At 40.1% G+C, this 17006-nt stretch overlaps 1 protein-coding gene across 11 annotated transcripts in view; it reads left to right on the top strand.

The window, feature by feature from the left end:
* KATNBL1 (katanin regulatory subunit B1 like 1) overlaps positions 1–17006 on the top strand; it is a 69423-nt gene that overhangs the window by 32542 nt on the left and 19875 nt on the right. For all 11 annotated transcript variants that reach the window (XM_017022575.3, NM_024713.3, XM_047433041.1 and 8 more), the window contains one exon: positions 13865–13995. In XM_017022575.3, coding sequence (XP_016878064.1) covers positions 13879–13995 — 117 coding nt within the window. In that variant the 5' untranslated portion in view covers positions 13865–13878. The remainder of the gene's footprint in view (positions 1–13864; positions 13996–17006) is intronic.

The raw sequence follows: 17006 nt of genomic DNA, 5'->3' as shown, positions 1-17006 counted from the left end.
CTCCTGCCTCAGCCTCCCAAGTAGCTGGGATTACAGGCGTGTACCACCATGCTCAGCTAGTTTTATATTTTTAGTAGAGAGTGGATTTCACTATGTTGGTCAGGCTCATCTCAAACTCCTGACCTCAAATGATCCACCCACCTCGGCCGCCCAAAGTGCTGGGATTACATGTGTGAGCCACCGCTCCCAGCCTAGAGCTGTTTAATCCTTTGATTTGGCAGCCATTGTAGTAGATTATATAGAAAGATCCCTTTTCATTTTTCTGGTAGGTGACAGCTACTATGTAAAGAGAATTTATCCCTCCAATTCCTTCTACATGCTTCTGTTTTTCTACCTTCTTAGGACAATACACTAAGGGTATTAGCAAACACTGTATTGTCTTTAAGAAAATATGCACTATATCCAATGTTCAGGATAGTTATATACAGTTAGTGTATTGGCCTCTTCTCAATCTTTTATTCTCTTAAGACCTTATTTCTTTTGTTCCTTTTTTTCATTAAAAGGCAATGATAATTGCCAGTTTCTATAATCACTGTCTTCAACCCTTAATACCATTTCAGATTCTTCACTTTTTTGTGTATTATCAAATAGCACTTCAAAAGCGCATAGAGGCCTGACCATTGCTTTAAAGTAGTTTTAGTTACATTGTCAAATGCTCTTGGTGGAAAAGGGATAATCCTGTATTGTTGCCCCAACAAAGGTGCTGTCAAATATATGAGACATGAAACAAAATGGAATTTGTAGTGTATAAATCCTTTGCAATGAGACTTTACCATTACAATTATGATTTCCTTCACTCCCTTTAAAGCTTTATTGAAGTATAATTTATATACCATAAAATTCACCTGTCTTAAATGTACATACCAAAATGTACAATTTACTGATTGTAAGTATATTGTAAGTGTACACAGAATTGTGCAGTTGTCAACCCCAGTATAATTATAGAACATTTCCATCATCCCAAAAAGAAACCTTGTGCCTATATATACAATTATTCCCACTCCCATCCTAGCCTAAGACAACCACGAGTCTGCTTTCTATCTCTATAAATTTTATTTTTATAGACATTTTCATTTAAATTGAATCATATAATATGTGGTCTTTCATGTTTGGCTTCTTTCACTTAACATAGTATTCAAACATGTTGTATATGTATTGGTACTACTTTTTTTTTTTGAGATGAAGTTTCACTCTTCTTACCCAGGCTGGAGTGCAATGGCGTGATCTGGGCTCACTGCAAACTCCGCCTCCCGGGTTCAAGTAATTATCCTGCCTCAGCCTCCCAAGTAGCTAGGATTACAGGCGCCTGCCACCACGCCCAGCTTATTTTTTTTCTGTTTTTAGTTGAGACGGGGTTTCACCATGTTGGCCAGGCTGGTTTCGAACTCCTGACCTCAGGTGACCTGCCCACCTCCGCCTCCCAAAGTGTTGGTATTACAGGCGTGAGCCACCACGCCTGGCCACTTCATTCCTTTTTGATGCTGAATAAAATTCCATACAGATACACCACATTTCGTTTATTCATTCAGCAGTTGATGGACATTTGGGTTGTTTTTTGCTTTTTGGCTATTGTGAATAAGGTTATAACATTTGCATACATATCTTTGTCAGGACATATGTTTTTGTTTCTTCTGCATTTTTATGTAGGAGTAGAGTTGCTGGATCATATGATAAATCTGTATTTAGTATTTTAAGAAACTGCCATTTTCTCACCCAGGCTGGAGTGCAATGGCGTGATCTGGGCTCACTGCAACCTCCGCCTCCCGGGTTCAAGTAATATTTGGAAAATACATTTTCCAAAGTTTGAATGTATTTTTACATTCCCGTAGTAATGCGTGAGGGATCCAGTTCTTCCACATCTTTCTCAACATTGTTATTGTCTGTCTTTTTTAGTATAGCCATTCTAATGGTTACGAAGTTTTATTTCATTGCTTGTGCAACAGGTTTGCAAGTAGTTTCGACTTGCATTTTATAATGACTAATGGTGTCAAGTCCTTCATTCTTAAAAAGTTTTAGAAAACTGTTTTAGCCTCTGAAGAAATAAACATGTCTCCCATATGAAAGGGTGCAGACTATGTACGTTGTCATCTAGAGAAAAAAATGATTTTATAGATTCTTTAAAAACACATACAGGTTGAGTATTCCAAATCTAAAAATCCAAATCTGAAATGGTCCAAAATCCAAGGCTTTTTGAGCACTGAAATTTTTTGAGCACTCAAACGGAATGCTTATTGAAGCATTTGGGATTTGGGATTTGGGGTGTGTAACCAGTAAGTATATAATGGACATATTTCAAAATCTGAAAAAATAAAAGATCCAAAACACTTCTGCTTCCAAGCATTTCATGATTTCAGGTAAGGGATACTCAACCTGTATGTACATATATATTATATATGCGTGTGTGTGTGTGTGTGTGTGTGTGTGTGTGTGTGTGTGTGTGTTGCTTATTTTACATTTGTATTATTTTTATTGTAATGGAATCTTAGTATGTTGCCCTGGCTGGTCTTGAACTCCTGCACTCAGGCAATCCTCCTGCCTCGTCAGCCTACCACAGTGCTGGGATTACAGGCATGAGCCACCAACCTGGCCTGCTTTTTAAAAGTTAATATTTGTGGCCAGTCGCAGTGGCTCATACCTGTAATCCCGGCACTTTGGGAGGCTGAGGTGGGTGGATCACTTGGGGTCAGGAGTTCAAGACCAGCCTAGCTAACGTGGCGAAACCCCATCTCGACTAAAAATAGAAAAATTAGCTGGGTGTGATGGCAGGCACCTATAGTCCCATCCAGGCAGGAGAATCGCTTGAATGCGAGAGGCGGAGGTTGCAGTAAGCTGAGATCGCACCACTCACTCCAACCTGGGCGACAAAGCGAATTAAGAAAAAAAAAAAAGTTAGTATTTGCATGATACTTTTTTCCCCCCTTCCTTTTACTTTCTGCATGCCTACATCATTATTTTTGAAGTGAGTTTCTTGTGGACAACGTATAATTAGGTCATGTTTCTGAATTTACTCCATCAATCTCTGGCTTTTAATTAACTAAATGACTTTTAGACCATTTACATATAATACAGTTATCAGTATGTCAGAGCTTAAGTCTATCAGTTTATTTTTTGTTTTCTGTTCTCTCTGTTCTTTGGTTTCCCTGGTTTTATTTGTTGGTTTGTTATTTTGTTTTGTTTGCCTTTCTCCAGGTTACGTAAACACGTTTCTCATTCCATTTTGATTTCCCTATAGTGTTTTTGAGTATAATTCTTGATAATTCAGTGATAGCTCTAGTTATTACATTATACATATCACAGTCTACTTATGTGGTCATTTTACCAGTTTGAGTGAAATGTAGAAATCTTACCTCTTTTTATGTCCCTTTAACCTCCACCACTTATCCTATAAAAGTCTTAGTTTCTTTACCTGTATTTTGAACAACATCAGATAGTGTTATAATTTTTACTTCAACAATTAAACATAATTTGGAAAACTCAAGAATGAAAGTCTATTGCATTTTCTTATATTTTTGCTCACCATTTTCTGTCTCCCTGGTGTTCCTAGATGCCTTCTTTCATCATTTGTTTGTTTGTTTGTTCATTTGTTTTGTTTGGCTAAAGAGAACTTCCTGTAGTCATTCTTTTAGGGTAGATCTGCTGGTAACAAATTCTCTTAATTTTCTTTCATCTGAGATTGTCAGTTTTCTTTTCATTCCTGAAGGATATTTTTACTGAACATAGGATTCTGGGTTGACACTTCTTTTCTTATAGCACTTGAAAAATGTGCCATTCCTTCTAACTATTCCCCAGTTGTCTCCATCTCCTCTCTAATGAACACCAAGTAGTTATTATAAATTAATTTCATTTTTGTGGATACTTTTTTCCTTATGTGCTCCGATGTATACCAGTTTTCCTCTACTTCTGGTGCACAGCCTTCATCTTGGGACCTTCTTTCATAATCATCCTGGGAAATACCTTCCATATATCCTGTTGGATTTCCATTTCTTATCTTTCTTTTTTTTGGTTTATCCTTCTCTTATTGCTTACTGTGAAGAAATTTTTGGGAACTCTGTGTATCTGAAGATACGTTTCTCTTACCCTCACACTTGATAATTTGGCTGGATATAAAATTTTAGGTTGCCTGAGAATTTTGAAGGCTTTACTCTGTATCTGTCATTTTTACATGACCAAGTTTGGATTTTAGGATTTATTTTTTATTTGTTTGTATATTTTCACCTTCTCTAGCTTCCCTACTACTGTGAAATGTAGCAATGATGTACCTTGTAGGTCTGTTTTCATCCATTATGATACACTTTCCATCTAGAAATTTATGTCCTTCAACCTTGTACAGTTTTCTTAAATTATCTCTTTGTTTGATTTCTCTTTTACTGTCTTGTACTCTTTCTAAAATTCTTTTTATTTGGATGTTGGTCCCTCTAAACCAGTCTTCTGGTTTTTTTTTTCTTCCTATGTTCTGGGAGATAGCTTCAGGTTTCTCTTCCAACTTCTGTTGAGTTTTTTACTATCTTTATTATGTCCTATTTTTAATTTTTAAGAGTATTTTTGTTGGGTTTTTTGTCCCATTTTTGTTTTATAGATGCAATTCTTTAAAATATTTTTTAGAAGTAGGTTTATCAAAGTACAATTTACATACAATAAAAATTCACCCTTTTTAGTGTATAGCTCTATTAGTTTTGATAATTAGGTAACTACCACCTTAGTTGACATACAGTTCTTTGGAAACAGACCACCATTGATGTTAGTATTTTAGAGAGAAGCGTGTGTGTGTGTGTGTGTGTGTGTGTGTGTGTGTGTCTGTGTCTGTGTGTCTATGTGTCTGTGTGTCTGTGTGTTACAAGATTAGTCAGAATTCCTAAGAAAGTATCCTCTGTACTCTTCCCTGGAGTGTATAAGCCTGGTTGCAAGCCTCTGTGAGGCAAGAAGCAGAAAGATTAGCGGTCTCAACATTTAGTATGTAAACTTTCACTTGATCATCCCCCTTTTTAGAATATGTTCCTAGGCTGGGTGCAGTGGCTTACACCTGTAATCCCAACACTTGGATAGGCCAAGGTGGGTGGATCACTTGAAGTCAGGAGTTTGAGACCAGCCTGGCCAATATGGTGAAACCCCATCTCTACTAAAAATACAGAAATTAGCCAGGCATGGTGACGGGAGCCCGTAATCCCAGGTACTCAGGAGGCTGAGGCAGGAGAATCACTTGAGCCTGGGAGGCAGAGGTTGCAGTGAGCCGAGATCGTGCCACTGGACTTCAGCCTGGGCAATAGAGTGAGACTCCATCTCAAAAAAAAAAAAAAAAAAGAATATGTTCCTCCCAAGGACTCTGTTTTACGTTTTCTAGAGAATAAAACTCGTTTTTTTACTGGAATGAGAAAGAGGATCTAGTGAGCCAACTGTGTCTTAAATGGATATTCAATCTATCTACTTGTTCTTAGGGTTACCTTTATCTCCACTTCTTTTATTTCTTTATTTATTTTTTATTCTTTAAGTGCCAGGGTACATGTGCACAACATGCAGGTTTGTTACATAGGTATACATGTGCCATGTTGGTTTGCTGCACCTGTCAGCTTGTCATTTACATTAGGTATTTCTAATGCTGTCCCTCCCCCACCCCCCACCCCATGACAGGCCCTGGTGTGTGATGTTCCCCGCCCTGTGTCCAAGTGTTCTCATTGTTCAGTTCCCACCTGTGAGTGAGAACATATGGTGTTTGGTTTTCTGCCCTTGTGATAGTTTGCTGAAAATGATCGTTTCCAGCTTCATTCATATCCCTGTTAAGGACGTGAACTCATCCTTTTTTATGGCTGCGTAGTATTCCATGATATATATGTGCCACATTTTCTTAATCCAGTTTATCATTGATGGACATTTGCGTTGGTTCCAAGTCTTTGCTACTGTGAATAGTGCTGCAATAAACATACATGTTCATGTGTCTTTATAGTAGCATGATTTATAATCCTTTGGGTATATACCCAGTAATGGGATCACTGGGCCAAATGGTATTTCTAGTTCTAGATCCTTGAGGAATCACCACACTGTCTTCCACAATGGTTGAACCAATTTACATTCCCACCAACAGTGTAAAAGTGTTCTTGTTTCTCCACATCCTCTCCAGCATCTGTTGTTGCCTGACTTTTTAATGATCACCATTCTAACTGGCATGAGACGGTATCTCATTGTGGTTTTGATTTGCATTTCTCTGATGACCAGTGATGATGAGCATTTTTTCATATGTCTGTTGGCTGCATAAATGTCTTCTTTTGAGATGTGTCTGTTCATATCCTTTGCCCACGTTTTGATTGGGTTGTTTGTTTTTTTCTTGACAATTTGTTTAAGTTCTTTGTAGATTTTGGATATTAGCCCTTTGTCAGATGGGTAGATTGCAAAAATTTTCTCCCGTTCTATAGGCTGCCTGTTCACTCTGATGGTAGTTTCTTTTGCTGTGCAGAAGCTCTTTAGTTTAATTAGATCCCATTTGTCTATTTTGGCTTTTGTTGCCATTGCTTTTGGTGTTTTAGTCATGAAGTCCTTGCCGATGTCTGTGTCCTGAATGGTATTGTCTAGGTTTTCTTCTAGGGTTTTTATGATTTGGCATCTAAGATTTAAGTCTTTAATCCATCTTGAATTAATTGTTGTATAAGGTGTAAGGAAGGGATCCAGTTTCAGCTTTCTACATATGGCTAGCCAGTTTTCCCAGCACCGTTTATGAAATAGGGAATCCTTTCCCCATTGCTTGTTGTCAGGTTTGTCAAAGATCAGATGGTTGTAGATGTGTGGTGTTATTTCTGAGGTCTCTGTTCTGTTCCATTGGTCTATATATCTGTTTTGGTACCAGTACCATGCTGTTTTCGTTACTGTAGCCTTGTAGTATAGTTTGAAGTCAGGTAGCATGATGCCTCCAGCTTTGTTCTTTTTGCTTAGGATTGTCTTGGCAATGCAGGCTCTTTTTTGGTTCCATATGAACTTTAAAGTAGTTTTTTCCAATTCTTCCAAGAAAGTCATTGGTAGCTTGATGGGGATGACGTTGAATCTATAAATTACCTTGGGCAGTATGGCCATTTTCACGATATTGATTCTTCCTATCCATGAGCATGGAATGTTCTTCCATTTGTTTGTGTCCTCTTTCATTTCATTGAGCAGTGGTTTGTAGTTCTCCTTGAAGAGGTCCTTCACATCCCTTGTAAGTTGGATTCCTAGGTATTTTATTCTCTTTGTAGCAATTGTGAATGGGAGTTCACTCATGATTTGGCTCTGTTTGTCTGTTATTGGTATATAGGAATGCTTTTGATTTTTGCACATTGATTTTGTGTCCTGAGACTTTGCTGAAGTTGCCTATCAGCTTAAGGAGATTTTGGGCTGAGATGATGGGGTTTTCTAAATATACAATCATGTCATCTGCAAACAGGGACAATTTGACTTCCTCTTTTCCTAATTGAATACCCTTTATTTCTTTCTCTTGCCTGATTGCCCTGGCCAGAACTTCCAACACTGTGTTGAATAGGAGTGGTGAGAGAGGGCATCCGTGTCTTGTGCCAGTTTTCAAAGGGAATGCTTCCAGTTTTTGCCCATTCAGTATGAGATTGGCTGTGGGATTGTCATAAATAGCTCTTATTATTTTGAGATATGATTCTTCAGTACCTAGTTTATTGAGAGTTTTTAGCATGAAGGGCTGTTGAATGTTGTCAAAGGCCTTTTCTGCATCTATTGAGATAATCATGTGGTTTTTGTTGTTGGTTCTGTTTATGCGATGGATTACGTTTACTGATTTGCATCTGTTGAACCAGCCTTGCATCCCAGGGATGAAGCCGACTTGATCGTGGTGGATAAGGTTTTGATGTGCTGCTGGATTCGGTTTGCCAGTATTTTATTGAAGATTTTCGCATCAGTGTTCATCAGGGATATTGGTCTAAAATTCTCTTTTTTTGTTGTGTCTCTGCCAGGCTTTGGTATCAGGATGATGCTGGCCTCATAAAATGAGTTAGGGAGGATTCCCTCTTTTTCTATTGATGGAATAGTTTCAGAAGGAATGGTACCAGCTCCTCTTTGTGCTTCTGGTAGAATTCGGCTGTGAATCTGTTTGGTCCTGGACTTTTTTTGGTTGGTAGGCTATTAATTATTGCCTCAATTTCAGAGCCTGTTATTGGTCTATTCAGCAATTGAACTTCTTCCTGGTTTAGTCTTGGGAGGGTGTACGTATCCAGGAATTTATCCATTTCTTCTAGATTTTCTAGTTTATTTACATAGAGGTGTTTATAGTATTCTCTGATGGCAGTTTGTATTTCTGGGGCATCAGTGGTGATATCCCCTTTATCAATTTTTATTGCATCTATTTGATTCTTCTCTGTTTTCTTCTTTATTAGTCTTGCTAGCAGTCTATCAATTTTGCTGATCTTTTCAAAAAACCAGCTCCTGGATTCATTGATTTTTTTTGAAGGGTTTTTGTGTCTCTATCTCCTTCAGTTCTGCTCTGATCTTAGTTATTTCTTGCCTTCTGCTACCTTTTGAATTTGTTTGCTCTTGCTTCTCTAGTTCTTTTGATTGTGATTTTAGCATGTCGATTGTAGATCTTTCCTGCTTTCTCTTGGGGGCATTTAATGCCATAAATTTCCGGCTACACACTGCTTTAAATGTGTCCCAGAGATTCTGGTTCGTTGTGTCTTTGTTCTCATTGGTTTCAAAAAACATCTTTATTTCTGCCTTCTTTCATTATTTACCCAGTAGTCATTCAGGAGCAGGTTGTTCAGTTTCCAAGTAGTTGTATGGTTTTGAGTGAGTTTCTTAATCCTGAGGTCTAATTTGATTGCACTGTGGTCTGAGAGGCAGTTTGCTGTGATTTCTGTTCTTTTACATTTCCTGAGGAGTGCTTTACTTCCAACTATGTGGTCAATTTTGGAATAAGTGCGATGTGGTGCTGAGAAGAATGTATATTCTGTTGATTTGGGGTGAAGAGTTCTGTAGATGTCTGTTAGGTCAGCTTGGTGCAGAGCTGAGTTCAAATCCTGGGCATCCTTGTTAACCTTCTGTCTCACTGATCTGTCTAATATTGACAGTGGAGTGTTGAAGTTTCCCATTGTTATTGTGTGGGAGTCTAAGTCTCTTTGTAGGTCTCCAAGGACTTGCTTTATGAATCTGGGTGGTCCTGTATTGGGTGCATATATATTTAAGATAGTTAGCTCTTCTTGTTGAATTGATTCCTTTACCATTATATAATGGTCTTCTTTGTCTCTTTTGATCTTTGTTGGCTTAAAGTCTGTTTATAAGAGACCAGGACTGCAAACCCTGCTTTTTTTTTGCTTTCCATTTACTTGGAAGATCTTCCTCCATCCCTTTATTTTGAACCTGTGTGTATCTTTGCACGTGAGATGGGTCTCCTGAATACAGCACACCGATAGGTCTTGACTCTTTATCCAATTTGCCAGTCTGTATCTTTTAATTGGGGCATTTAGCCCATTTACATTTAAGGTTAATGCTGTTATGTATGAATTTGATCCTGTCATTATGATGCTAGCTAGTTATTTCACCTGTTAATTGATGCAGTTTCTTCATAGCATCGATGGTCTTTACAATTTGGCATATTTTTGCAGTGGCTGGTACTGGTTGTTCGTAACCATGTTTAGTGCTTCCTTCAGGAGCTCTTGTAAGGCAGGCTTGGTGGTGACAAAATCTCTTGGTATTTGCTTGTCTGTAAAGGATTTTATTTCTCCTTCACTTATGAAGCTTAGTTTGGCTGGATATGAAATTCTGGGTTGAAAATTCTTTTCTTTCAGAATGTTGAATATTGGCCCCCACTCTCTTCTGGCTTGTAGGGTTTCTGCCGAGAAATGCGCTGTTAGTCTTCCCTTTGTGGGTAACCTGACCTTTCTCTCTGGCTGCCCTTAACATTTTTCCCTTCATTTCAACCTTAGTGAGTCTGACAATTAAGTGTCTTGGGGTTGCTCTTCTTGAGGAGTATCTTTGTGGTGTTCTCTGTATTTCCTGAATTTGAACGTTGGCCTGCCTTGCTAGGTTGGGGAAGTTCTACTGAATAATACCCTGAAGAGTGTTTTCTGACTGGTTGCATTCTCCCCGTCACTTTCAGGTACACAATCAAACATAGATTTGGTCTTTTCACATAGTCCCATGTTTCTTGGAGGCTTTGTTCGTTTCTTTTCACTCTTTTTTCTCTAATCTTGTCTTCTTGCTGTATTTCATTAATTTGATCTTCATTCACTTATATCCTTTCTTCCACTTGATCAAATCAGCTATTAAAGCTTGTGTATGCTTTATGAAGTTCTCGTACTGTGATTTTCAGCTCCATGATGTCATTTAAGTTCTTCTCTACACTGGTTATTCTAGTTAACCATTTGTCTAACCTTTTTTCAAGGTTTTTGGCTTCCTTGCAACAAGTGAGAACATGCTCCTTTAGCTTGGAGAAGTTTGTTATTACCGACCTTCTGAAGCCTAATTCTGTCAACCTGTCAAACTCATTCTCCATCCAGTTTTGTTCTCTTGCTGGTGAGGAGTTGTGTTCCTTTGGTGGAGAAGAGGTGTTCTGATTTTTTGAATTTTCAGCCTTTCTGCTCTGGTTTCTCCCCATCTTTGTGGTTTTATCTACCTTTGGTGTTTGATGTTGGTGACTTACGGATGGGGTTTTGGTGTGGATGTCCTTTTTGTTGATGTTGATGCTATTCCTTTCTGTTTGTTAGTTTTCCTTCTAATAGACAGGCCCCTCAGCTGCAGGTCTGTTGGAGTTTACTGGAGGTCCACTCCACACCCTGTTTGCCTGGGTATCACCAGCAGAGGCTGCAGAACAGCAAATATTGCTGCCTGATCCTTCCTCTGGAAGCTTCATTCCAGAGGGGAACCCACCTGTATGAGGTGTCAGTCGGCCTCTACTAGGAGGTGTCTCCCAGTTAGGCTACACAGGGGTCAAGGACCCACTTGAGGAGGCAGTCTGTCCATTCTCAGAGCTCAAACGTCGTGTTGGGAGAACCACTGCTCTCTTCAGAGCTATCAGACTGGGAAGTTTAAGTCTGCAGAAGTTTCTGCTGCCTTTTGTTCAGCTATGCCCTGACCCCAGAGGTGGAGTGTTAGAGGCAGCAAGCCTTGCAGAGCTGCAGTGGGCTCTGCCCAGTTCGAGCTTCCCCCAGCCACTTTGTTTACCTACTCAAGCCTCAGCAGTGGCGGACGCCCCTCCCCCTGCCAGGCTGCTGCTTCGCAGGTCTATCTCAGACTGCTGCGCTGGCAGTAAGCAAGGCTCCGTGGGCGTGGGACCTGCCGAGCCAGGCATAGGATAGAATCTCCTGGTCTGCCATTTGCTAAGACCATTGGAAAAGTGCAGTATCTGGGCTAGAGTGTCCCGTTTTTCCAGGTAGAGTCTGTCATGTATTCCCTTGGCTAGGAAAGGGAAATCTCCTGACCCCTAGCGCTTCCCGGGTGAGGTGACACCCTGCCCTGCTTCAGCTCGCCCTCTGTAGGCTGCATCCACTGTCCAGCCAGTCCCAGTGAGATGAACCAGGTACCTCAGTTGGAAATGCAGAAATCACCCGTCTTCTGTGTTGATCACCCTGGGAGCTGCAGACCGGAGCTGTTCCTATTATAATGGCCATCTTGGAATGGACTTGCCATCTCTACTTCTTGATGTCCTTGGTATTGCCAGTTCCTGAACGTTTAGGGGATTCTGCATTTTGCTTTCCTCATTGCCAATTTAGGATCTGGCTTTCTCACATCTGCTGAGTCAGTTACCACTTTTATTTATTTATTTATTACTAATTATTATTTTTTCGAGACAGAGTCTTGCTCTGTCACCCAGGCTGGAGTGCAGTGGCATGATCTTGGCTCACTGCAACCTCAGCCTCCCGGGTTCAAGCGATTCTCCTGCCTCACCTCCCAGGTAGCTGGGATTACAGGTCCCACCACCACGCCCTGCTAATGTTTGTATTTTTGTAGAGACAGGGTTTCACCATGTTTGACAGGCTAGTCTTGAACTCCTGACCTCAGGTGATCCGCCTGCCTCAGCCTCCGAACTTGCTGGGATTACAGGCATGAGCCACCACACCTGATCAAGTTACCACTTTTAGCTTTGCATTTTCCAAAATGTTATTGCCATCACCTGAACTTCTCCTGTCTTTGTCCTCATGGGTTTTATGTCTTTACAAACCTTTTATTGTCATTTAATCAGGTTTCAAGGAAGGGTAGAGGTAATTGCATGTGTTCAATCCATTCTTTTAAACTAAAAGTCCCCTTTTTTGAAAAAAAAAATCTCACATTGTAGCATTGTGGACAAGACCCTTTGTGATCTAACTTCTATCTCTAGCCTCATTTAAGTCGCCCCCAATGTAAGCTCCAGCCACAAGTGTCTACTTAAGAGATTGCCAAACAAACCGTGTTGCTTCACGCCTTTCAGTTCTGCACATGCTAGTTTGTCAGTGTGCTGATTTGTCTGAGTAACCTTCTGTCAGAGTACTTATTGTATTATTGCAGTTATTTATTTACTTTTCAAAAAATCTCACTCTAGAGGTTTCTTAACCTGGGATACAGGTGGAAGGGTTGTCCATTAATTAGCTGTAAGAAATCTTTCGCTGAAATTATTTGTAAAATTTCATGTGTATGTTCATATTTTTGGAGAATTGAGAATATGCCTCAAAAATACTTGTGGAGCTTTTTAAAAATATAATTGCTTTGGGCTCCACTGCAGAGAGAGACAGTATTATACTGAGTTACAGTCTCTTAAGTTAGAGCCCACAAAAATCCATTTTCAAAAAGTTTCCTAAATGATTCTTTAAAACAGGATCTCTGAGCACCATCTACATTAACGCCAGGGCCTGGCTTATAGTGAATGCTTAGTAGATGTTTAAAGAAAGAATAAGGGAGCAACTTACATTCAGGGCATGACCTAAAATAAATTTCCAACGTGAAACCAGAGTGCAAGTGAGAAAATCACAAATTTCTTCTGTTATATAAATTAAGTCATAGCATTTGTTTCCATCAACATGCCCTCTTTAGACCCTCTTTAGATATAATTAGTAAAATAGGAGGGCATTGATTTTTTTTTTTTTCAAAGGTAGAGGAGAGCTTTGGAGAGCTGTCTGCAAAAATGAAAGAAGAATTTAAGGATTAGGCATAGGACAAGTCAGTTGTATGTAGTCCAATTTTGGTTCCTCTCATTGCTTAGGGTTGTTTTGACCCAGTGATTTAGTTGCACAGTTTTAGGTTTCTGTACATTTGGATGTCATAGATACCACCACCTTATACACCTTATTTCATAACCTGTGTGTTTATTAAATGGCTAGTGACATGGAAAATGGGGAGATTGATGTGTTGCTTTGGCACAAAAAAATACATACAATATTATTGTCACTGGTTCCAATTAAAGAATGAGGACAGGCTGGGCACAGTGGCCCATGCCTGTAATCCCAGCATTTAGGGAGGCTGAGGCGGATGGATCACCTGAGGTCAGGAGTATGAGATCAGCCTGAACAACATGGTGAAACCCCGTCTCTACTGAAAAAATATAAAATTAGTCGGGCATGGTGGCACAAGCCTATAATCCCAGCTACTTGGGAGACTGAGGCAGGAGAATTGCTTCAACCCAGGAGGCGGAGGTTGCAATGAGCCAAGATCGTGCCATCGCACTCCAGCCTGGGCAACAGAGCAAAACTCCATCTCAAAAAAAAAAAAAAGAATGAGGACAGAAAGATCCTTAATTTCCTGGAATGCCTTGCCTTGTGCTTCCTCTATGTTTAAGGTTTTTAAAAATGTGTAAATTAAAATGATGTCCTCTGCCTTTTTTATATAGCATTGTGCTACTGTTGTATGTTTGTGTGTGTGTTAAAAATGATCAGACTCTTTTTGCTGTTTTAATTTTCTATTTTATTTTATTGTCTAGGTACTTAAGAGATTATGGCATCAGAAACCCACAATGTTAAAAAACGGAACTTTTGTAATAAGATTGAGGATCATTTCATTGATCTTCCTAGAAAAAAGATCTCTAATTTCACTAATAAGAACATGAAGGAGGTAAGTCTATGGTTTCTAGAAAACAGATAAGACAATTTAAACGGTTAGGTCTCTAGATATCTCTGGTTGAATTGTTTAAACAATGGGAGGATAATAATTCTGCTTAATCTCCCAGAATTAAGTTGAATTGGTGAAATATAACCAATGTATTTCTTTTTTTTTCTTTGTTAGGTCTTAACCATTTTATTTCTATAAGCTCTAAAAGGTTTTTAATCGGGCTGGGCATGGTGGCTTATGCCTGTAATTCCAGCACTTTGGGAGGCCGAGGTGGGTGGATCACCTGAGGTCAGGAGTTCAAGACTAGCCTGGCCAACATGGTGAAACCCTGTGTCTACTAAAAATACAAAAATTATCTGGGCATGGTGGTGGGTGCCTGTAATCCCAGCCACTTGGGAGGCTGAGGGAGGAGAATCACTTGAACCCGGGCGGTGGAAGTTGCAGTGAGCTGAGATCGCGCCATTGCATTCTAGCCTGGGTGACAAGAGCAAAACTCCATATCAAAAAAAAAAAAAAAGTTTTTAGTCAGTATGCTGTTTCAATATGATATAATTTAAATATTTTAGTTAAAGAGGAATTCCAGAGGTGCTTTGTGTTCACTATTGTAAGGTTCATTAGCACTGGTATACTTTCTTTTAAACCACATTTAGGCCAGGCATGGTGGCTCATGCCTATAATCCCAGCACTTTCGGAGGCTGAGGCAGGAGGATTGCTTGAACCCAGGAGTTCAAGCCCAGCCTGGACAACATAGTGAGACTCCATCTCTACCAAAAAAACTTTTTTCAACTAGCCAGGCATGGTGGCATGCACCTGTGGTCCTAGCTACTGGGGAGGCTGAGGTAGGAGGATCACTTGAGCCCAGGGCGTTAAGGCTACAGTGAGCTGTGTTCATACCACTGCACTTCAGCCTGGGTGACAGTGCGAGATCCTATCTCTAAAACAACAACAGCAACAAGAAAAGAGATTAAAATTTAACTCACTTGTTAAGCATCCTGTAAGTTACAATATAATTTGCAACTAGAAGTGTGGAAAATAGGGAGCTGGATGTTGTATTATTCCGTTTTCATGCTGCTGATAAAGACATACCTGAGACTGGGTAATCTCTAAAGAAAAAGAGATTTAATGGACTCACAGTTCCATGTGGCTAGAAAGGCCTCACAATCATGTCGGAAGGCAAAAGGCACATTTTACATACGTGGCAGCAGACGAGAGAATGAGAACCAATTGAAAGGGGTTTCCCCTTATAAAACCATCAGATCTCGTGAGACTTATTCACTACCACAAAAACAGTATTGGGGAAACCGCCCCCATGATGCAATTATCTCCCACTGAGTCCCTCCCACAACACTTGGCAATTATGGGAGCTATAATTCAAGATGAGATTTGGGTGGGGACACAGCAAAACCATATCAGATATGTTGCTTTACCAAAAATAACTACATATGATGTTGTTGTATGTTGATTCAGACTACAGAATTAGAACAGAGAAAACATTAATCTGAAAAACTTATCTGTTGAATTTTAGATTTGTTGATATCAATCACAAAATTTACATAACTATTAATGAACTTAAATATGCCTCAATTATTAAGTACATTGAGTTCTGAGTTCCTCTTCAAAGAACCAGTATGTCAGTATGTTCAGCTTCCTTATATTTTGTTCTCCATTTTAAAGTTTAACTTCCTCATTCTTTATGCCTCCTTGCCCCTAGTTTCCAGTAAACAACCCCCTTCTAGCCTTTATACTCACATATTTAGAGTTCTTAGTCATCCTTAGTCACCTGCTCTGTCCTCAGTCATCTTAGTCACCTGCTCTGTAACCATCCTTCCCGCTGAAACTGCTCTCCCACCACTCCAGCTCATACCCCTGCTCTCTTTAAAATAGCCTATCAGAATTAGCTTAGACTGTGCGGTCCAACCCTAGCCAATAGGGGAACAACATAGCAGTAGGGACTAGCTGCGTTAGGGATAAGAACTCCTTCCTCCCCCTTGTCCAGTGTGCTTTTGCAACCACTCCAGGCGTGATTGGCACCCTTCTGCAGAAGTAAATTGCCTTGCTGAGAAAGCCTTTTGCCAGAGTGCTGATTCTTCTTTGCGGCATTGAGCATTTGTTTCTAACAAATTTGGGGGCCAGTCCGGGATTCCCATTCTCCTCTGGGCAAGGGTCCCTGGTCCTCTCCCATGAGGAGGCACGCCCTGCAGCCTCATTGCGGTGGCCTTGTGTAAGGAATCGAGGCCCACCCAGTGTGATGAATAAACCCGGACTCTCAGCAACGCAGGAAGAAACAGACCAACAACTTGGGGGAAAAAAAATAATCACATACCAGGTAACCCTGTGCATAGACCAAGGTAAGAAACGTCACAAGAGTGACAAAGTATTTCCTTGGTGGTCGGGGTATCTTGGAGGTTGAAAGTGTGTGAATGAGATGCACAACTGAGTGCAAAGCGAGTGTTGAGTCCGGATTTGTGGTTTCGTAGTCACCTCATACAGCTTAGGGCAGCCCTCCTGTAAAGGAGTCTGGGTTGGAGTTTATACCAACCTGCCAATCCCAAGAGGGATCTGACATTCCCATTAGGGAAGCAGCCAGAGAAGGATAAAGCGAAAGTAGAAGAATGTGAGAAGCCTCCAGCAGGGGGGTGTTGAGCCTCTAGGAAAGGAAGGCATGAAATCTCCAGTAGGGGGGATTGAGCCTCACACAAACCTCCAGTAGTCGGGAAGGCAAAAAATTTCCAGTAGGGGAAATTGAGCCTCACCCCAAAAGTCAAGAAATCTCCAGTAGGGGAGATTGAGCCTTACCCCAAAACCATCAAGATGGGAAATACCCCAAGTAAGGTAAGGGATTAAAAAGTATAAAGCTAGCAACAATAATATTCCCCCTGATAGTCCCCTAGGCCTAATGTTGAAATGTTAGAAGAATAATGAAAAGACTTTAGAGAAATGATAATAAAAAGAATTCAAGAGTCTAAACCCCGCATCCAAAACATTACAAAAGCTTTCAATAACAAGGAAAAGAT

Source organism: Homo sapiens, chromosome 15, assembly GCF_000001405.40.
Source record: "Homo sapiens chromosome 15, GRCh38.p14 Primary Assembly".
NCBI classification, from domain to species: Eukaryota; Metazoa; Chordata; class Mammalia; order Primates; family Hominidae; genus Homo; species Homo sapiens.
This window is presented reverse-complemented; position numbering and strand designations above follow the sequence as displayed.